The sequence below is a fragment of the Homo sapiens genome, chromosome 17, assembly GCF_000001405.40.
Source record: "Homo sapiens chromosome 17, GRCh38.p14 Primary Assembly".
Classification (NCBI taxonomy): Eukaryota; Metazoa; Chordata; class Mammalia; order Primates; family Hominidae; genus Homo; species Homo sapiens.
In genome coordinates, this window is record NC_000017.11 from 75,844,653 (window position 1) to 75,864,865 (window position 20,213).

Below are 20,213 nucleotides of genomic sequence, written 5' to 3' on the forward strand. Positions count from 1 at the left end.
GGGGGCCCAGAACAGGCGGGCAGCATCCTGCCCCATCCATGTGCTGTGCCCAGGCTGGGCTGAACCCTGAGAGAAGCTGACCTGGGCCCGGGGGGGTTCTCACCCCACTTCCTCGAGTGCGTCCAGACGTGGGGCGGGGCGGGGTGGGGTGGGGTGTGGTGGCGCCCAGGGTGGGGGCTCCCAAGAGGCGTCTCCCTGGAGGACAGCCAGTTGCTCAGCCTGCCTGGCCCCACAGGTGACATTCCTTGGAGATGACGGGGCCAAGCTGTGCTGGGCAGGGACAGCCCTGTGCCCCTGCCCCCACCTTGGCAGTCAGGACAGTGCTCCCTTCAGACACCCTTGAAGGGGGCTTAGCCAAGTCCCAGAGAGCTCTGGGCCAGGCTGGCCAGGAGGAGGAGGCAGAGGGGCTGCTGCCCGATCTCTCCTGAGGACAGACTTGGCTCCCGGGGGACAGGAAAATGCGCCTCAGCATGGGGCTTTCCTAGAGCTCTGTGGCCTGCCCACCCTGTGCCCAGTGCTGGGCTGGGGGACTTGCGGGCGTGTGGGCCTGGTCACGGCCTTTGGCCATTTCCCACCCTCCTGTCCCTTCAAGTTCACAGCAGGGCACGTGACGTGGGTGGTGGCAAGCCGGCTTGGCTACCTCAGTGTCCCTGTCACAGGTCCTGACGTGCTCCAGGGCTGACTCGGCCTCCTCCCTCCAGCAACCAGGACTTAGGCCAGGGCTGCCATTCCTCGAGGAGCCAGCAGGGGACAAGGTGGCAGCCCCAACTCCTCCCTTCAAGGCCAACTCTGGGCCACATCCACCTCTGTCCCAGCCAGGCCCTGGGGACTCAGTGGGGGAGGGACACAGCTGCTGAGCGACAACCGTTAAGAACCAGCTCCAGAGGCCAGAGCTGTCTTGGGGACCAGACAGGCTGGCTGGGCCGTGAGAATGGGGATCCTCCCATGGGAGGGAACCGTCCCAGAAGTCTCCAGGGCCCTCAGCGGCCAGACGGCTCTCCTTCCGGAAGAGACCCCCGGGTCACCACACGCAGAGCCAGAAAGGGTCCAGTTATTTCATTTTTACTATTTCACATTTTCAGCAAACAAATCGAGGTGCAAACAGGGTTTATTTCACATTAATATATTAACTGGATTTTTTGTCAAATAAATAGGGAATTCTCTTTAAATAACCATCTCCTCACTTCATGGCCAGTCCAGGGACAAACAAGAGTGAATGTTAGCGCATCCAGGGGCACAAAGCTTAAGGGGAAGAAGCAGGCTGGGGGGCTGGTGGCAGGTCCCGGCCAGCACACAGGGTCAGGGGCCCTTGTTCCCGGCCCCACCCAGCAGCCACCAAGTGGACAGACATGCATTCTCTGGTTCCAGTCAGGAAGCTCCTTCTAGAAGGAAGTGAGAGGTGAGGGAAAGCAAATTCCAGAAACACCAGCAAAAGGCAGAAGGGCTTCCTCCCAGCCTCGGCGGCCCTGCCCCGACGCCACCCAAGCCCTGGAAGCTCATTTTACAGCTTCAAAAGTCACACAGGGTGGCAACAACATGACCCAGGACAGGGAAGGGAAGGAAGGGTGGCGGGGGCTGCAGCTGGACCCTGGCTGAGTGGAATGCGGGCGCGGTGGCCTTCTGAGACCAGCACAGACCAGCAGAGGGAATGTGAGCAGGGTCTGGCAGGGCCCGGGAAGACACCTGGCTGGTCTGAAGTGGCTCATGAGGCTGAGTGTAGCAGTGGGTGCCAGACTGAGGGAGCTGGACTGCGGTGGAGGAGGTGGCCAGAGAGTCCCTTCGAGGGGAGAAGCTGAGAGTGAAACAGGAACAGGGGATGCTCCGTGCTCCCAGAAGAGCCCCAGACGGTGAGGGAGGTACGCTGGGCAGCACTGTGGGCTCCGGGCTGGCATGGGAAGCTGGGCGGCACCTCTCCCGAGGCCGGGGGCCCTAATGTCCCACAATGCTAGTTCCTGGTAATTGTTTATGATCAGACCTGGAGGGAGAACAAGGCGCCCCCTCCCCTCCCCAAGCCCCAGCACAGCCCCGATGGGAGGGGTAGGGTAGAGAGATGAGGGTGGGAGGCAGGGAGGCAGGAGGGCCTACTGGGTCTTCTTATCTTCCGGTGGGTAGTAGGGAGGTGGCGGCGGCTGGCTCTAAAGAAGGGAGAAAGGAGAGACTTGCATTAGAAGGTTTAAAACATGGTGCGGTCATCCCCCTGCGGCTCCCAGCATCTGCGGCTGTGGGGCTGCACCGGCACTGCCAAGCCCTCTCACCGTGGGCATGTAGACGTTGTGAGGATTGCCTGGGTTGTAATAGGCGCTGGCGGCTGCTTCTGCGGCCTTGGCTTCGGCTGTGAGAGCAAACACACCTGGTGTCGGTGACAAGTTCTCCTCCCCCTGAGCTCAGCTAAGAGACCCCGGGCCCCCATGGCTCGGGGCAGCTGGTGCTGGGGGTCCAGTTCCACCAATGAGAGCAGCAGGTGAGGTTTCCTGAGCACATGCCACGCGCTGGCACGGTCCTTTCCAGGCCCATCGCATGTCTCACCTCATCTAATCCTTGAGCCAATGCCCCAGGTGCCACTGTGACCGACCAGCTGAGTGTAGATGAGAGGATCGAGAGGCACACAGGGTGACCTTCCCCGCCCAGGGCACATGGATAGCTAAGGGATGGGGGTGGGGCCAGAATCTAGCTCCGCTCCACCAGGCCACAGCCCTGCTGGGCCCCTGGGGTAGTCCAGGGGTCATCCATCATCTGCGGCTCTCAGCAGTCTCTGGCCATTCTGAGGCTCTCTGTGCGACATCGGGGAGGAGAGGGCTGGTCCCGAAGGGCTGCCAGCACCCAAGGGCCCTCACCTGCAGGAGTGGAGGGGACATCGGGGCCGCTGACCGGAGGTTCCATGGGCCCAGGGTAGGGCGGTGGTGGGGGCTGCACGTATCCCATGGCCCCGTCCATCATGGGGGGTCCTGGATAGAACTCTGCTCGGTGAGAGAGTAACAAGGACATGGTGAGCACCCGGCTGCGGCCCCCTCCCGGGTGAGGGGGGCCTCTCCAGCTCCTTCGTTGGTCCTGAAGCAGCTCAAGGAATAAAGTCTCCCTGGCCTGGGGGGAGCCTGGGTAGGTGGGCTCATGAGGGGAGTGGGGGCAGCAAAGGACACACTCACCAGGTGGGGGCGGTGGATAGGGGTAGCCAGGAGGGCAGGGGTACATTCCATTGGCGACTGGCGGGGGATAGACATAGGCCCCGCTGGGCATGTAAGAGTAGCCATAGGCTCCACTGGGGACTTCACCTCTGGAGGCTACGAGTACAAGGGGAAAGAGAAATGAGCGTGGCCTGCCTTGGGGCGGGGAGAGGGCAGCCCCGCTGCCTGCAGATGGGAGCTACTGGGTCTCAGGAATGTGCCCCGCAGACATCCTCTGTCCATCCCACTCCACCCTCCACCCATACTCGGGGGGCCACCTTGGTCAGGGATGAGAGAGGACGGGAGAGGTCAGAGCCAGGGGAAGGCAAGGGAGGTCAAGGGCAAGGCTGGAGGGTGGACAGAGGCCGGGAGGGAGGCTCAGGGCTGGGGTAGGAGTGAGCTGGCGGAGGATGTCTGCTGGCCCATCCCTCGGTCATTTTCAATGGCTGCGGAACCGCAGTCGAATGGTTGGTTTAGTGTTTGTTTTATGAGGCCATAGTAAAGTGTCCTTGAGTCCAAACAGCTTTGTCAAAACGTCATCCACCTGCCCCAGGCAGGGAAACGCAGTCTCTGAGGTACAGGACAGAGCTGATGCCAATGACAGCTTTCCTTCCCAACTCCTAGGCCTGGTCAGCCTGGTGCCCAAACACTTACCTCTTGAGTTCTTGAAAAAGCAAAACGAAAAGGAAGCAAACTCATACCAAACCCCTACATGTTTAGTGTGTCTTTAGCCCCTAATCTTCGGAGCCTGGATACCTTGAGATGCCACCTGGAGCATCCGCTGTCCGAACTCAATGGCGCCCCCTGCCGTGAAAGTCAACTTGTAGGAAGCAGAGCCTTCCCAGCCACCTGAAAGGGGAAGGACAGTGAATAAACAGCACAGGAAAAGAAAACTTATGCCCAAAGAGATGGCTGTTTTCCTCTCCAGGACTTCATCCAACGCCCGGGAGGCCTGCGGGGGCTGGGCCTGCACTGTGATGGGGACTTCCTGGTGCCATGGTTTCCAGCCTGCTGCCTGCATAGGAGCCAGCACTGCAGCCTGGCCTGGCCCTGCTGTACTCGCTTCCCCCTTTGGAACAATGGCCTCTCCTTCCTGGAACAAGCCTGTCCTCCCACCCTTGGCCCAATATGTACACGGGTGCCAAGGCCACATCAAGGTTTCTCTCCGCCCCCAGTCAAGCACTCGGCAGCTTCACAGGAACAAGCCCACTCAGCAACAGCCGACCTTAAAATTCAGAGCAGACCTCTCGTCCTAAGGGGGCCCAAGGACAGACTCCGGCCCCTCTAGCCTGGCTTCTGCCCAAAGGGGGACCAAGAGTGTCTCAATAGCAAGGGCGGGCCTGGCTGGGTGTCAAGGGGAAGGCAAGTTCAATGCAGAGGTCTCTGGGGCCTGCCAAAAAGCCAGCCCCAAAGCAGGGTGACTCTGGCTTCCCAGAGGCAGCTGCCTCTTCCTGGCTCTCATGAAAAGGCCCCTCTCAAGAACCTGATGCAGCTCCTTCCTGAGTCTAAAATTTGTATGCGCTCGCCAAGTTGCACTAAGCATCTTGACTCAGTCCGCAGGCTTCTGCAGACTTCACGCTCTGAAAAGCTGATCTGAGCTGCTGTCTTTCATGCCAGCATTTTCCCCACCTCTTGGCAATCAAACCCCACCAGCTGGCAGCCCAGAGCTGGGAAGAGGTCATGGCTAGGGCGATAAGGGTCTGAAGGGGACGCCCCCACGGCGGCAGTCAGAGGTTCCCAGGACACCTCCCTGCAGGCCCCATGCGTGTCCCTGAGTTCCCATCACCTACCTCCCGCTTCCGCCTTCACTGTTCCCTTGATGTAGTTTGCACCAAATACGGGCTGCTTGATCTCACAGTCTTTCATGAGATAAAATGGCATCATGAAGGACTGCATGGCATCCTTGCCCTTGGACAGAAAGATGACCTGCAGGGAGAGAGGGTGAGGCCATCAGTACTAGAAGCACAGCCCACGCTGCCATGCTTCCCGCCTGCTTCCTGGGAGTGACGAATCCTCTCCCAGTGCCAGGGTCCAGCAGCCCCATGGCTCTCTCTGTGCCAGACACTCCTGGAGAGAGCTTTGGAAAGGGAAAGGGCTCACCGCAGCCTGGAGAGGCCAAGCTCACGCACACGGGAGAAAAACGTGCTGGTCACAGATAGTATCTATGAGCAGGGCAGACTGCTTTGTCACTGACGTGGTGGGGTGGTGGCAGTGTTGCCTAAGTGAAGGGGCCTACGAAGCTAGGGAAGGACAGGCAGAGGCAAGGCAGGGATGGGTTCCTGAAAGAGGGGGGTCTCCAGCCTGAACTCTCCAGAACTGAGAATGATGGTGCAGTAGGTCGCTAGCTCCCATTGAGGGGGGCTATAAACAGCAACAAGAGCTCTCCTGGAGCCTGTGCCTGGAGAAACCCTTGGGTTTTATTTTTTCTTTTCTTTTCTTTTTTTTTTTTTGAGATGGAGTCTTACTCTGTTGCCTGGGCTGGAGTGCAGTGGCGCGATCTTGGCTCGCTGCAAGCTCCGCCTCCCGGGTTCACGCCATTCTCCTGCCTCAGCCTCCTGAGTAGCTGGGACTACAGGTGCCCGCCACCATGCCCGGCTAATTTTTTGTAGTTTTAGGAGAGATGGGGTTTCACCGTGTTAGCCAGGATGGTCTCGATCTCCTGACCTCATGATCCGCCCGCCTCGGCCTCCCAAAGTGCTGGGATTACAGGCATGAGCCACCGCACCCGGCCCCAGCCAGGGTTTTAAACCCACGACTTTTATCTGTGACTGAAGGTGCCAAGTTGAGCCTCCAGAGATGGGGTTTTGAGACTCTCCTGTCTTTGTGAAGTCATGGAGATTAAAACTTGAAAATGTGCTCCTCTTCTTCCAGCTGTCTTTGAGTCTAAGTCTTTTTTTTTTAGGCAGGGTCTCACTCTGTTGCCCAGGCTAGAATCCAGTGGCATGATCCCAGCTCACTGCAGCCTCAACCTCTCCAGGCTCCAGTTATTCTCCACCTTACCTCTCGGGTAGCTGAGACTAGAGGCATGTGCCACCACACCCAGCTAATTTTTGTATTTTTTGTAGAGATGGGGTTTTGCCATGTTGCCCAGGCTGGTCTCGAACTCCTGAGTTCAAGTGGCCTGCCTACCTTGGCCTCCCAGAGTGCTGGGATTACAGGCATGAGCCTCCGCACCAGCCTGTCTTTGAGTCTAAATCTTGAGTAGCCACAGGCAGCAATCCTTTTCCAAGAACATCCATTTGTATTTCTCAACCTCTCAGAGTCCACGTGGGTAACTCTCAGGCAGGGCCCATTCTGCAGCCTGGCATTTGTCATTCTGCGGGGTGGTACCGGGCTCTCTGCCCAGTCCGGAGGCCGTGCCATGCAACTGTACCCTGTTTACTGGATTTCTCACTCTGGATACACACAGGGCTTCATGGGCTACTCTCACAGAAAACAAAATATTAATAATAATAGTCTGGCCTCCAGGCCCAAGTCATGCCAGCGGCTGCATCCAACTCTATAGAGATTTTGCAGCAGCGGCTCTGGAATTGACATGGGTTCACTGCCCAGTGGTCAGGTCAGTTACACAAAGAGCCTGGTGATTCTGGAATCCAGGAGCATGTGACAGAGAAACAGGCAGAGTGAAGCACTAACACTCACCAGGATTCAGAGGCCACCTGACTCATGAGGCTGAGGCAGACCTGAGACTAAGACTCACGTCACCTCCAACAGCAACAAGCCTCTCAACCAACTGCCCTGCTGTGCAACTCACCCGGTAAGGGGTAAGGTAGACAGTGCCTTTCTTGGTCCCTTTGAAGGCTTCTGGCACGTTCTTCATGTCATTGAATGTGAGTTCCACGTGATCATAGGACATTAGGATGCTGTGATGAGAAAAGAGGAAAAGCCTCAATGAGACAGTATGGAGACGCGACGTCACCCAGACACTGGGCCTTTCTCCCAAGCAGCTGCCCGGCACGTCAGCTCTCATAACCTCTCAATAGTGCGGCATTAAAACTATTCATAGGGCTGGGCGCGGTGGCTCACGCCCGTAATCCCAGCACTTTGGGAGGCCGAGGCGAGCGGATGACCCCTGGTCAGGAGTTTGAGACCAGCCTGGCCAACATGGTGAAACCCCATCTCTACTAAAAATACAAAAAAATTAGCCAGGCACCGTGGCGGGCACCTGTAATCCCAGCTAGTCAGGAGGCTGAGGCGGGAGAATCGCTTGAACCCAGGAGGCAGAGGTTGCAGTGAGCTGAGATGGCGCCACTGAACTCCAGCCTGGGCAACAAGAGAGAAGCTCTGTCTCAAAAACAAATAAATAAATAAAGCCATTCATAGGGCCAGGCGCAGTGGCCCACACCTGTAATCCCAGCACTTTGGGAGGCTGAGGCGGGTGAATCGCTTGAGCCTAGGAGTTTGAGACCAGCCTGGGCAACATGGTGAGACCTCATCTCTACAAAAAAACTAAAAACCAACAAAAAAACCCATTAATATAGCCATGGAAGAAATGAGCAGGTTGGGGGTTCTGTAAAATTTCCCAAACCCCGCTTATAAAGCCCCCAAATGATCAACATGGTAGCAGAGCTACAGGGCTCTGAAGAGGCCATCATCCCTCAAGCAAGTTAGATAATCTGGCTTAACTCTTCTATTTTCTTTATTTTTTTTTTTTTTTTTTGAGACGGAGTCTCACTCTGTCACCCAGGCTGGCGTGCAGTGGCGTGATCTCGGCTCACTGCAAGCTCCGCCTCCTGGGTTCATGCCATTCTCCTGCCTCAGTCTCCCAAGTAGCTGGGACTACAGGCGCCCGCCACCACGACTGGCTAATTTTTTGTATTTTTAGTAGAGACGGGGTTTCACCGTGTTAGCCAGGATGGTCTCGATCTCCTGACTTCGTGATCCACCTGCCTCGGCCTCCCAAAGTGCAGGGATTACAGGCGTGAGCCACTGCGCCCGGCCAACTCTTCTATTTTCTTTTAAGTCCTTGTGATAGATGTTCTGTTTTTGCTGGTTTGTTTTTCAAGCCTAAAATATAAACATGTCTAAGAGATGACTGTACAGATCACAATAGGACGTCCTTCGGGGTTCTTTTAAACCTGGGTTCTTAAGCGGGGTTTGCAGGAAAGTCCATGAAGCCCTTGAGATGATCACGTATGTCATATGTGCATTTTTCTGGGAGGAGAGTCCACAGCTTTCATCATTGTCAAAGGAGTTCACGACTTGAAGAGTAACGTTCACTATTTTAATTATAATTTTTTATTTTTTTGAGACGGAGTTTCACTCTTGTTGCCCAGGCTGCAGTGCAACATAGCGTGATCTCAGCTCACTGCAACCTCCACCTCCTGCGTTCAAGCGATTCTCCTGTCTCAGCCTTCCAAGTAGCTGGGATTACAGGCATGCGCCACCACGCCTGGCTAATTTTTTGTGTTTAGTAGAGACGAGGTTTTACCATGTTGGTCAGGCGGGTTTCAAACTCCTGACCTCAAGTGATCCACCCACCTCAGCCTCCCAAAGTGCTGGGATTACAGGCGTGAGCCACCATGCCCAGCCTAATTATCAAATTTTGGACACTGGACTTAACACTTCAATTGTTATAGATACAACTTTTTCAGACAGCAGGCTGAAGCACTTTCTAAAACAGCAGGCTGAAGGCACACCTTACTTAGCAGGACTGAGCCCTAAGCCAGGTAGAAGGCCGAGCAGGATAGATACATTCTTGTCTCAGAAAGTTCCACAGAGACAGAAAGAAAAACAGTCCCCAGAGATGTTGCCAAATGGCACGAAAAGCTGGCCAGGCCTGGGAACTGACTCACACACAGAGATGCAACAAAACAGTGTGAGGTGTCTCTGATTACATGATAAAAAGGTTCACACGGTTCTGTTTGTCTTCTGCCTCCCCCCATATATCACAACTTTCTCTGACTGGGGAAGGGTAAGTGGGAAACAACTGGTATAAGCAAAGGAAAATGGCTGGGCGCGGTGGCTCACTCCTGTAATCCCAATACTTTGGGAGGCCGAGGAGGGTGGATCACGAGGTCAGGAGTTCGAGACCAGCCTGCCCAACATGGTGAAACCCTATGTCTACTAAAAATACAAAAAATTAGCTGGGTGTAGTGGCGGGTGCCTGTAATGCCAACTACTGGGGAGGCTGAGGCAGGATAATCGCTTGAACCCAGGAGGCGGAGGTTGCAGTGAGCTGAGATCGTGCCACTGCACTCCAGCCTGGGCGACAGAGCAAGCCTCCATCTAAAAAAAAAAAAAAAAAAAAAAAAAAAAGAGAAGAGAAGTACTGCTCAGAGAAAAGAAGGAATTACCAGCAACAGGCTGGGCCCATGAAACTCTGAGCGGGTAAGATAGAGGGAAAGTGAGCATGCTGGGTCACTCTAGGCATTTTCCTCTGACTCATCAAACATTCCCAAGTCACAGGGCAGCTGGATGCTGGCCTTAGCTGGGTACAGGGCTCTGACTCCACGATGTCTCCTTTGGGGACTCAGGTGCCTCCTAAGCTCCTTCTGCCTTCAAGAGGCAATTCAGGGTCGGCATAGTTCAACCCAGGGCTGGCTGGTCTGATTTTCAATACCCAAGGAACAAAAGGAGACAGAGGCCATTTAAGGCTTCTCTTGGCAGAGACTGGAGGAGAGACAGGATGCAATGAGCAAGGGGTGGGGAGGATGGAGTGGAAAGAACCTTGAATTAGGAGAGCTCTGCCTTCCGAGGTGACCCAAACCAACAGGCATTCAAGAGAGAGGCAAGGGAATGACTACGGACCCACACAGTGCCAGGAACTGTTAGACACCTGACAAACGTCATCTGTTTAATTTCACCTCTGGGACCTCAGTTTTTTACCGGGAACCTGAACAGTTCTGGAACATACTGGAAGCCTGTATGCTGGTGGTTAATCCTATTAACTTTGGAGTCAAGACTCCTTTCCTGGAATTACCACCTCTGTTACTTACACAGTTGCGATCTCGGGCAAGTTACTTAACCTTTCTGCCCTCCACTTTCCCTACCTGTGAAATGTGGACAGTAGTAGATTATACTGCACAGAATTTATTAAATAAGGTAGAAAAGGCGCAGAGCCTGACACGTAGTAACGTTGTAGACATCCAATAAGTGACAATTATTTTTGTTTGGGGCTCCTCCCAGCTACTGAAATCACAAGTCTGGGAAGGGGTTCAAGAATCACCCCTAGGCCCCACCGGGGGCCCCATACCAGGTCCCCATGCAGACGTCCCACCCCCGCCTCCCAGCTGATCACAACCTCCCGGGCTCTCCCCCACGGCCCACCCACCTTCCTCCAACCCCGCCCCCAGCCGTTCCCCACCAACCTCACTCCATCAGTGCTCCCTCTTCAGGGGCTTATTCCCCACCACCCACCACCCACCGCCCACTTCCTCGACACCCGAACTTTGGTCCTCCAGGATCCTTCCGCAGTGTTTTCACCTCTCGGTGTTATTGACGATCACTCCGCCGCCCTCCGAGTGATTCTTGTTGAGCGCCATAGTCTCTCCAACAGGGGTCCCGAGACTCAAAACGCAATGAGCTTGCGCCCCTCTTCGCCCCGCCCCTAGTGGCGTCTTCTTATTAGAGTCAGCCAATCAAAGCTCGAGTGCGGAGGCTGGCCCAAACACCTGACCCGAACGTCACGTGGTAATAGTTTACTCCCTCCTTCCAGTTCCTCCTGCGCAACAAACAAGATGAAGACTACAATTCCCAGCAGGCAACGCCCCCGCAGCCTCGGCCTGTCCCTATGCTGGAGGAAGGATGCATTCTGGAACTTGTAGTCTCCTGGATCATAGGCCTGAATTGGTTCCACATTTTGCGTAACCAATCGGCTTGTGCCATCCCCACCCCGCCTCTTCAGCCGGACGGAAATAAACAGTTCCGCTCCTGGCAGGGGCGCGATCTTGGGGACTCCGGCAGCGCGTTAAGGGAAGTCCTGCTGGTCGAATGCGACCTGGACATGGCGTGGGAGCGCCGAGCTGTCCCCTTGTGGATGGGGAGCTTTCGTTCACTCAGCAGACGTTTATGGGGCGCATGCGTGACTCTGGGGCGTTTAGCTGAGCCGGAGGCCCCGGCTCTTGGGGACGCGGTGGGCTGGCGGCGTCGGATCACCCCGCCATCCATCTCACCACTCCCAGCGCTGAGCCCGGGGGGCGGGGAGAGTCCCTCATGGGAAGGGGAGGCCGTGTGCCCCGCCTGGCTCCCACCACGTTCGCAGGCCGGCCGGGCGCCCCTCGCAGCCCCCTCTCCGGCCTCGCGGTGGCGCCGCTCCCCCCTTAGCGCCCAGCGGGGTCCCGGCCGGAAGACTGAAGGCTGAGTGGGACTGGGCACGGCGCGAAACCGGCATCCTGATAACTAGGATTTACAGAATAAGGCTGACTCCTGTCAGCTCGTGACCCAGCCCTGGGCGTCCTCCACGGGGCAGCTGTCATTCCCTAACCGCCCCCCACCAAACCCCTGCACCTCCGAGCTGAATCCGTGAGGCGGAGAGAGGGGGCTGCACTTCCCACGTGGTAGTTCCGGTACTCGTTAATGTTAAGGAATTAGAGTTTGCTTTTCAGTAGACAGCTGCTTTCCTGACTGTGGTGGCCAACCTCTAGATCCACCTGCTTGACTTCGCTTTCCAGGGAGGTCTCCTATGTGAAGAAACAAAGCTGCCTCACTAGAAAAGATCAGGAAACAGCAGCGTTCTGTGAGGTCCTGTGCAATACCAGGTTGGACCTTGCGGGACAAGTACAGTGGGTTAAGGATAGTCATAATGAAATCTGCCCCAATGGTTAGATGTATTTTGGCGCCTGCAATCTCTGCAGTCTTTAAAAAGAATTAAGTCAGACTATGTGCTGATATGGGAAGATCATCAAGGGTTATTAAGCACAGAATGCTGTATACATATAGTTGTATTTGTATAAAAAATAGGATCTAGATAGAAAATTTTTGCAAAGATCCATCAGAAAATGTCTGTGGCATTTTTGAGACATGGGTCTAGGAATTTGGGGTGGATTGGTGACTCGGTATGTCAGTATGCATTGTACTCTTTGGTACTGTTTAATTTTTTTTTCCTATGTGCGTTTAAAATATAAATTTAGGCCGGGCGCGTGGCTCACGCCTGTAATCCCAGCACTCTGGGAGGCCGAGGCGGGCGGATCACGAGGTCAGGAGATCGAGACCATCCTGGCTAACAGAGTGAAACCCCTTATTAAAAATACAAAAAAAAAAAAAAAATTAGCCGGACGTGGTGGCGGGCGGCTGTAGTCCCAGCTACTTGGGAGGCTGAGGCAGGAGAATGGCGTGAACCCGGGAGGCAGAGCTTGCAGTGATCTGAGATTGCGCCACTGCACTCCAGCCTGGGTGACAGAGTGAGACTCCATCTCAAAATAAAATAAAATAAAAATAAATAAATAATATGTAAATTTAAAAAAGAAAAGCAGGCCGGGGTTTGTGGCTCACGCCAAAGGCGTGAGCCAAATTCCAGCACTTTGGGAGGCCAAGGCAGGTGGATCACCTGAGGTCAGGAGTTCAAGACCAGCCTGGCCAACATGGTGAAACTCCATCTCTACTAAAAATACAAAAATTAGCCGGGCATGGTGGCGGGCACCTGTAATCCCAGCTACTCGGGAGGCTGAGGCAGGAGAATCGCTTGAACCTGGGAGGCAGATGTTACAGTGAGCCAAGATCATGCCACTGCATTCCAGCCTAGGCGACAGAGCAAGACTCCATCTCAGAAAAAAGAAAAAGAAAAGCAAAATCCAGGCCTGGTGCCGTGCCTGTAATCCCAGCACTTTGGGAGGCCAAGGTGGGTGGATCACTTGAGGCCAGGAGTTTGAGACCAGCCTGGACTACATGGCAAAATCCCATCTCTATAAAAATACAAAAATTAGGCCGGGCGCGGTGGCTCACACCTGTAATCCCAGCACTTTGGGAGGCCAAGGTCGGCGGATTACCTGAGGTCAGGAGTTCAAGACCAGCTGGCTAACATGGAGAAACCCCGTTTCTACTAAAAAATACCAAAAACTAGCCGGGTGTGGTGTTGTGCGCCTGTAAGCGCCTGTAATCCGCGCGCCTGTAATCCCAACTACTCGGGAGGCTGCGGCAGGAGAATCCCTTGAACCTGGGAGGTGGAGGTTGCAGTGAGCCGAGATCACGCCATTGCACTCCAGCTTGGGCAACAAGAGCAAAACTCCATCCCAAAAAAAAAAAAAAAAACGCAAAAATACAAAAATTAGTTGTGCATGGTGGCGTGGTTCCTGTAATCCCAGCTAATAGGGAGGCTGAGACATGAGAATTGTTTGAACCTGAGAGGCGAAGGTTTCAGTGAGCCAAGATCGTCCCAGTGCACTCCAGCCTGGGCAACAAAGGAAGATTCTGTCTCAAAGAAAAGAAAAAGAAAAAAAGGAAAATCCCCCCAGCAAAGAGCAGGCAGCATTGGCTGCTCTAAGGACCATAAATGGGAAGATGGGGACAACCTGCCCACCCCTCTCCCACCCCTTTGCCAAATACGTTGGAGACAGGAGCAAGTTCAGGTTTTGCCAGGCCTTGAAGCTTATACAATTTTGGAGGCTGTCTTGGTTGTTTATGTTTTTGTTTTTTGAGACAGGGTCTCATTCTGTCACCCAGGTGCGATCATAGCTCACTGCTTCCTTGGAACTCCTGGACTCAAGTGATCTGGAGGCTCTTTTTAAGAAATAAAATACACAGGCCGGGCGCAGTGGCTCATGCCTGTAATCCCAGCACTTTGGGAGGCTGAGGAAGGTGGATCACCTGAGGTCAGGAATTTGAGACCAGCCTGGCCAACGTGGTGAAACCCCGTCTTTACTAAAAATACAAAAAATTAGCTGGGTGTGGTAGCGGTCACCTGTAATCCCAGCTACTCGGGAGGCTGAGGCAGGAGAATCGCTTGAACCCTGGAGACGGAGGTTGCAGTGAGCTGAGATCAAGCCACTGCACTCCAGCCTGGGCAACGAGAGGAAAGCTCTAACTCAAAAAAAAAAAACAACCCCACAATTATTCATTCACAATACTGTGGCTACAGTGAGGCCTCCTGACAGGAGGGGAAATGACAAGAAGAGGAAGTTGCAGTGCAGAGATAACAAGCTTGACCAGCTCCGGCTACAATGTCCAGAATTTCTAAGTTTTACAAAAACATATGACCATGTGAACACACTTCCTGGGCGGCTCCCATGACTTTGGGGCTGGAACGTACCAGAACTCAAAACTCAAACCGAAGACTTCAACAATGGTTTATTGCTGAACCAGGTGAGCAGCAGGAGGCTCCCCTGGGCCCAGGTCTCAGTACTCAGACCTCTCCTCTGGCCTCATACTCCTGTCTGCCTGTCTCCAGATCTCTTTTTCACTGCAGTATGATGCTCATATTCTCCACACTGGAGCACATCTTAGCGGTGCGCTAAGGAGGAGTGCAGGTTGGCCTCAGATACCAGCAGGCAAGGTCTGGGGCAGCTGAGCCCCTGAACTGGTCACCTGTTTTTTCTGTTTATAATTTTATTTATTATTTATGTATTTATTTTTGATACAGGGTCTTGCCCGTCTCCTGGGGTGGAGTGCATTGACATGATCTCTGCTCACTGCAGCCTCCGCCTCCCGGGTTCAAGCAATTCTCATGCCTCAGCCTCCAGAGTAGCTGGGACTACAGAATCGTGCCACCACGCCCAGCTAATCTTTGTATTTTTAGTAGAGATGGGGTTTCACCATGTTGGCCAAGCTGGTCTCAAATTCCTGACCTCAAGTCATCCGCCCACCTAACACTCCCGAAAGTGTTAGGATTACAGGTATGAGCCACCGCCCCCGCCTGGTCGCCTCTTGACTCCCAATAAGATGAATCTGTTTGCCCCAGTGAGCCAAATAAATACCATTTTCACTGAACAAATCATTTTCTGTGTGTGCCATGACATAAAAGAGGTTGGCAGGCCCGTAGAGGTGGCTCATGCCTGTAATCCCAGCATTTTGGAAGACTGAGGCAGGAGGATTGCTTCAGCCCAGGAGTTTAAGACCATCCTGGGCAACATAGTGAGACCCTCCCTCTAAAAATTTAAAAAAAAAAAAAAAAAAAAAGGTTGGCAGCATTTACCAAACGGTGGCTGTTTTTCCTTACCTTGACCCACAGTAAAAATATATAGGGCTTGAGCCCAGGAGTTTGAGACCAGCCTGGGTGACAGAGCGAGACCCTGTCTTACATTGTCACTCAGGCTGGAGTGGTGCAGTCATGGCTTACTGCACCTTCAACCTCCCGGGCTCAAGCAATCTTTTTACGTCAGCCTCCTAAGTAGCTGGGACTACAAGTGCACATCACCATGCCTGGCTAGTTTAAAAAATTTTTTTGGTAGAGATGGGGTTCCATTATGTTGCCCAGGATGGTCTTGAACTCCTGGCATCAAGCAGTGGTCCTGCCTCAGCCTCCCAAGTAGCTGAGAGTACAGGCCCTGCCACCACCACATGCTGCTTAATTTGTATTTTGTAGTGGGATATATTCTGAAATTTTCTGTTTTATTTTGTCATCTTAAAAAATTGCTGCAAGCAGCCGGGCGCAGTTGCTGACGCCTGTAAATCCAGCACTTTGGGAGGCCGAGGCAGGCAGATCACGAGGTCAGGAGATCAAGACCATCCTGGCTAACACGGTGAAACCCTGTCTCTACTAAAAAAAAAAAATACAAAAAAATTAGCCGGGTGTGGTGGTGAGCACCTGTAGTCCCAGCTACTCAGGAGGCTGAGGCAGGAGAATGGCGTGAACCCAGGAGGCGGAGCTTGCAGTGAGCAGAGATCGAGCCACTGCACTCCAGTCTCGGCGACAGAGTGAGACTCCGTCTCAAAAAAAAAAAAAAAAATTGCTGAAAGGGCCGGGCTCGGTGGCTCGCACCTCTAATCCCAGCACTTTGGGAAGCCGAGGCGGGCAGATCACCTGAGTCAGGAGTTCAAGACCAGCCTGGCCAACATGGTGAAACCCCGTCTCTACTAAAACTACAAAATTAGCCGGGCATGGTGGCGCAAGCCTGTAATCCCAGCTACTCGGGAGGCTGAGGCAGGAGAATAGCTGGAATCTGGAAGACGGAGGTTGCAGTGAGCCGAGATGGCGCCATTGCACTCCAGCCTGGGCAAAAAGAGTGAAACTCAAAAAAAAAAAAAGTGCTGCCGGCGTGGTGGCTCACGGCGGACACTTGAGGTCAGGAGTTTGAGACCAGCCTGGCCAACATGGTGAAGCCCCCATCTCTACTAAAAATACAAAAAGTTAGCCGGGGGTGGTGGAGCGCACCTGTAGTCCCAGCTACTCAGGAGGCTGAGGTGGGAGGATTGCTTCGCTCAGGAGGCAGAGGCTGCAGTGAGCTGAGTTCGCACCATTGCACTCCAGCCTGGGTGACAGAGTGAGACCCCCATCTCAAAAAACAAAACAAAACACCAAAATCAACAATAATACAGAAGCTTGAAAGAGGAGCCCCAGGGTACTAAAACCCAGCCCTCTGAAGAGCGGGCCTGGGCCGGCTGGTGCTGGTGCCCGTGCCTCTGAAGGGAGCTCAGGGTAGCTGGTTCTGCAAGGGTTGGAAAAAGTAGAAACTGGATTCAGCTGCTGCTAAAGAACTGCAGCTGCCCCAATGAAGAAGCTTTCCTGGGTACAATACAGGCAAAAATAGTGAGCAGATGGGAGGCTGGGGCCTTCTCCAGCCCTTCAGGCCTCTCTAGCGCCCCCTCTTGGCAGAGCCTGGCAGGGAGCAGCAGGCAATGGAGAAACGTGGCTCTGGGTGCATTGGCTCATGCCTGTAATCATAGCAGTTTGGGAGGCCCAGGCAGGTGGATCACCTGAGGGCAGGCGTTCGAGGCCAGCCTGGGCAACACGGTGAAACCCCATCTCTACTAAAAATACGAAAATTATCTGGGCGTGGTGGCGTGTGCCTGTAGTCCCAGCTACTCAGGAGGCTGAGGCAAGAAAATCTCTGGAATCCAGGAGGCAGAGCTTGCAGTGAGCCAAGATCGCACCACTGCACTCCAGCCTGGGCGACAGGGCAAGACTTCATCTCAAAAAGTAGTAATAAAAAATAAAATTAAGAAAACAAAGACATGTGGCTCTGAGTCCCAGCCAGACCATGAAGCTGAGTTGGGTGGGTGGGTGTTATGAGTTGAGTTCGGTCCCCCCGACTTCAAATTCACATGTTGAAGTCCTGACCTGCAGTACCTCTGAAAGTGACCTTATTTGGAAATAGGGTTGTTGAAGACATCATTAGTTAAGATGAGATCATTAGGGTGGGCCCTAAATCCAGCGTGACTGGTGCCCTTGTAAGAAGGAGAAACTTGGACACAGACACACACGCAGGGAGAAGGCAGGCGGTGCAAAGAGGGAGGCAGAGAGCTACCAAGATTGCTACACGGATTGCTACATATTGTCAACAAACCACCAGAAGCAAGGAGAGCGTCAGGGGACAGATTCGCTCTCACAGCCTCAGAAGGAGTCAACCCTGCCCGTACCTTGATTCCAGACTTCGGTCTCCAGCACTGAGACAATACATTTTGATTGTTTTTGTTTGTTTGTTTGTTTTGAGACGGAGTCTCACTCTGTCGCCCAGGCTGGAGTGCACTGGCGCGATCTCAGCTCACTGCAAGCTCCGCCTCCGGGATTCACGCCATTCTCCTGCCTCAGCCTCCCGAGTAGCTGGGACTACAGGCGCCCGCCACCACGCCCAGCTAATTTTTTTGTATTTTTAGTAGAGACGGGGGGGGTTCCACCGTGTTAGCCAGGATGGTCTCGATCTCCTGACCTCGTGATGTGCCCGCCTCGGCCTCCCACAGTGCTGGGATTACAGGCGTGAGCCACCGCACCTGGCCCATTTTGATTGTTGAAGCCGCCTGGTTTGTGGTATCTTGTTACGACAGCCCAGCGCATTAATATAGTGGGTTTGGAGCTAAGAGTCAAGAGTTTGGCATCATCCCCAAAATGTGCTTGGCCCAGGGCAGTGGGGCCTCAGCTGCAGCTAGAAGCCCTTGGAGCCGGGCGCAGTGGCTCACACCTGTAATCCCAGCACTTTGGGAGGCCGAGGCGGGTGGATTACCTGAGGTTGGGAGTTCAAGACCAGCCTGACCAACATGGAGAAACCTTATCTTTACTAAAAAATATACAATTAGCCAGGCATGGTGGCGCACGCCTGTAATCACAGCTACTTGGGAGGCTGAGGCGAGAGAACTGCTTGAACCCTGGAGGCAGAGGTTGCGGTGAGCCGAGATCATGCCATTGCACTCCAGCCTGGGTGACAGAGTGAGACTCTGTCTCAAAAATAAAAATAAAAATAAAAAATAGAAGCACTTGGGCTCAGACGGTCGGCATCTGAGCAGCAGCAGACCCAGTGGAGAACAGAGTGGAGGCTCTCCCATCTGAGGCCCCGGTGGGGTGGCTCATGCCTGTAATTCCAGCACTTGGGAGGCCAAAGTGGGTGGATCACTTGAAGCAAGGAGTTCGAGACCAGCCTGGCCAACATGGTGAAACCCTGTCTCTACTAAAAATACAAAAATTAGCCGGGCGTGGTAGCGCACGCCTGTAATCCCAGCTACACAGGAGGCTGAGGCAGGAGAATCACTTGAACCCAGGAGGCAGAGGTTGTAGTGAGCTGAGATGGTGCCACTGCACTCCAGCCTGAGCAACAGAGTTGGTGCAGGGAAGAAAGCTCTCCCATCCCCTGGGCACCATGGAATCACCATATAATGCCAGGTGCAGTGGCTCTCGCCTGTAATCCCAGCACTTTGGGAGGCCGAAGTGGGCCAATCACCTTAGGTCAGGAGTTTGAGACCAGCCTGGCCAACATGGTGAAACCCTGTCCCTACTAAAAATACAAAAATTAGCCAGGCATGGTGGTGGGCGCCTGTAATCCCAGCTACTCAGGAGGCTGAGGCAGGAGAATCACTTGAACCTGGGAGGCAGAGGTTGCAGTAAGCCAAGATTGTACGCTCCAGCCTGGATGACTCCGTCTCAATAATAATAATAATAATAATAATAATAATAATAATAATAATAATAGTGATTCTACTGAGGGGGAAGATGCCCCTCCCCATATGCCTGAAGTTGAATTTCTTACTTTCTTGGCAAAGGGCAGCTTATAATCACATTTTTTTTTTTTGAGACGGAGTCTCGCTCTATATGGCCCAGGCTGGAGTGCAGTGGCGCCATCTCGACTCACTGCAAACTCCGCCTCCCGGGTTCACGCCATTCTCCTGCCTCAGCCTCCCGAGTAGATGGGACTATAGGTGCCCGCCACCACGCCCGGCTAATTTTTTGTATTTTTAGTAGAGACAGGGTTTCACCGTGTTAGCCAGGATGGTCTCGATCTCCTGACCTCGTGATCCGCCCGCCTCAGCCTCCCAAAGTGCTGGGATTACAGGCGTGAGCCACCGTGCCTGGCCTATAATCACATTTTACTTGATTTAGGGAAACTACTCAAATGGACATTTCTTTTACCTGAGTTTGGGGGAACAAATTTGTGCTTGATACACCAAGTCTTTTTCTTTCAGCCAGTTGTCCTCTTTCTAATACGCCAGTGAGAAAAATAAAACTCCTGGTAAGTCATTGGTAACTTTCTGCCACTCACCGTTGGTTGCTCTGCTGCGGAGTGGCAGATGCCCTGTGAGGCGTTGGTGATGTTTGGTGACGTGGAAGTGGGCTATTTTGGATGAGTCCTTTTTGGCCGTGGGTATTTCAAGAACACAAATTGCCCGCTCCCTCATCAGAAGCAGGGCCAGAGCGTGTCTGGGGCTGTTTCTGGTTGCTATAGAGATGGGCCCCACCCTGAAGTTCCCGCTGGGACCTCCTGGCTCTGTCAAGTTCAGTTTCCCCAGACACAGCTGCAAGGCCTGTTCTGAGCAATTCCTGCTGTTAGAGTGTTTATACACACCTCGAGTGCATTTCCGCTTCTGAGCCTCCAAAACCACAGAAAGCCAGAAAGGGGCGGTGTGACCTCTGAAGATGTCCGCATCCCAGTACTGAGGAGCCTTGGCTGGAGGGACCCCCCTCTACACCAGAGAGCTGGAGGAGAGGAGGGACCAGGGGAGGTGCTTAAGGGCCTGGCCCCTCCCTGCTATTAT

The 20,213-nt window shown here is 53.8% G+C and overlaps 1 protein-coding gene across 4 annotated transcripts, besides 7 other annotated features; it reads right to left on the reverse strand.

Annotated features, from left to right (window-relative positions):
* Positions 2–161: a silencer, noted in NCBI's record as "silent region_8988". NCBI's record gives its function as "represses an Ori minimal core promoter by ATAC-STARR-seq in GM12878 lymphoblastoid cells {active_cell/tissue: GM12878}" and the evidence as "EXISTENCE:reporter gene assay evidence [ECO:0000049][PMID:35858748]".
* Positions 392–471: an enhancer, noted in NCBI's record as "active region_12779". NCBI's record gives its function as "activates an Ori minimal core promoter by ATAC-STARR-seq in GM12878 lymphoblastoid cells {active_cell/tissue: GM12878}" and the evidence as "EXISTENCE:reporter gene assay evidence [ECO:0000049][PMID:35858748]".
* Positions 602–691: an enhancer, noted in NCBI's record as "active region_12780". NCBI's record gives its function as "activates an Ori minimal core promoter by ATAC-STARR-seq in GM12878 lymphoblastoid cells {active_cell/tissue: GM12878}" and the evidence as "EXISTENCE:reporter gene assay evidence [ECO:0000049][PMID:35858748]".
* On the reverse strand, positions 1,047–11,784 carry WBP2 (WW domain binding protein 2). 4 transcript variants are annotated; one of them, NM_001348170.1, is made up of 9 exons: positions 11,610–11,784; positions 10,587–10,824; positions 6,916–7,024; positions 4,952–5,087; positions 3,918–4,010; positions 3,144–3,278; positions 2,835–2,957; positions 2,256–2,332; positions 1,047–2,135 (listed from the first exon to the last, which is right to left on the reverse strand). In NM_001348170.1, exons 2-9 carry the CDS (start codon positions 10,643–10,645, stop codon positions 2,082–2,084), a joined length of 786 nt encoding a protein of 261 aa, NP_001335099.1. In that variant the 5' UTR covers positions 10,646–10,824; positions 11,610–11,784; the 3' UTR covers positions 1,047–2,081. The 4 variants fall into 4 exon arrangements, with proteins under 4 accessions (NP_001335099.1, NP_036610.2, XP_047291668.1 ...); NM_012478.4 differs by lacking the exon at positions 11,610–11,784 and having other exon boundaries at positions 10,587–10,683; XM_047435712.1 differs by lacking the exons at positions 10,587–10,824; positions 11,610–11,784 and adding an exon at positions 10,472–10,492.
* Positions 10,769–10,898: an enhancer, noted in NCBI's record as "active region_12781". NCBI's record gives its function as "activates an Ori minimal core promoter by ATAC-STARR-seq in GM12878 lymphoblastoid cells {active_cell/tissue: GM12878}" and the evidence as "EXISTENCE:reporter gene assay evidence [ECO:0000049][PMID:35858748]".
* Positions 11,269–11,438: a silencer, noted in NCBI's record as "silent region_8989". NCBI's record gives its function as "represses an Ori minimal core promoter by ATAC-STARR-seq in GM12878 lymphoblastoid cells {active_cell/tissue: GM12878}" and the evidence as "EXISTENCE:reporter gene assay evidence [ECO:0000049][PMID:35858748]".
* Positions 11,507–12,302: an enhancer, noted in NCBI's record as "H3K27ac hESC enhancer chr17:73852240-73853035 (GRCh37/hg19 assembly coordinates)". NCBI's record gives its function as "activates a minimal SCP1, AML or CMV promoter by ChIP-STARR-seq in naive H9 embryonic stem cells {active_cell/tissue: H9 hESC(naive)}" and the evidence as "EXISTENCE:reporter gene assay evidence [ECO:0000049][PMID:30033119]".
* Positions 19,876–20,170: an enhancer, noted in NCBI's record as "tiled region #12387; K562 Activating DNase matched - State 5:Enh". NCBI's record gives its function as "activates a minimal TATA promoter and a strong SV40 promoter by Sharpr-MPRA in K562 cells {active_cell/tissue: K562}" and the evidence as "EXISTENCE:reporter gene assay evidence [ECO:0000049][PMID:27701403]".

Bases quoted from the DNA above. Each gene is read 5' to 3' on its own strand.
- WBP2 (NM_001348170.1), bottom strand. From the start codon at position 10,645: ATGGCGCTCAACAAGAATCACTCGGAGGGCGGCGGAGTGATCGTCAAT. The intron at 5,088-6,915 runs GTGAGTTGCACA...CTCTCCCTGCAG, and splicing joins TCTACCTTACCCCTTACCGG to GTCATCTTTCTGTCCAAGGG. The intron at 2,136-2,255 runs GTGAGAGGGCTT...TCCCTTCTTTAG, and splicing joins ACAACGTCTACATGCCCACG to AGCCAGCCGCCGCCACCTCC.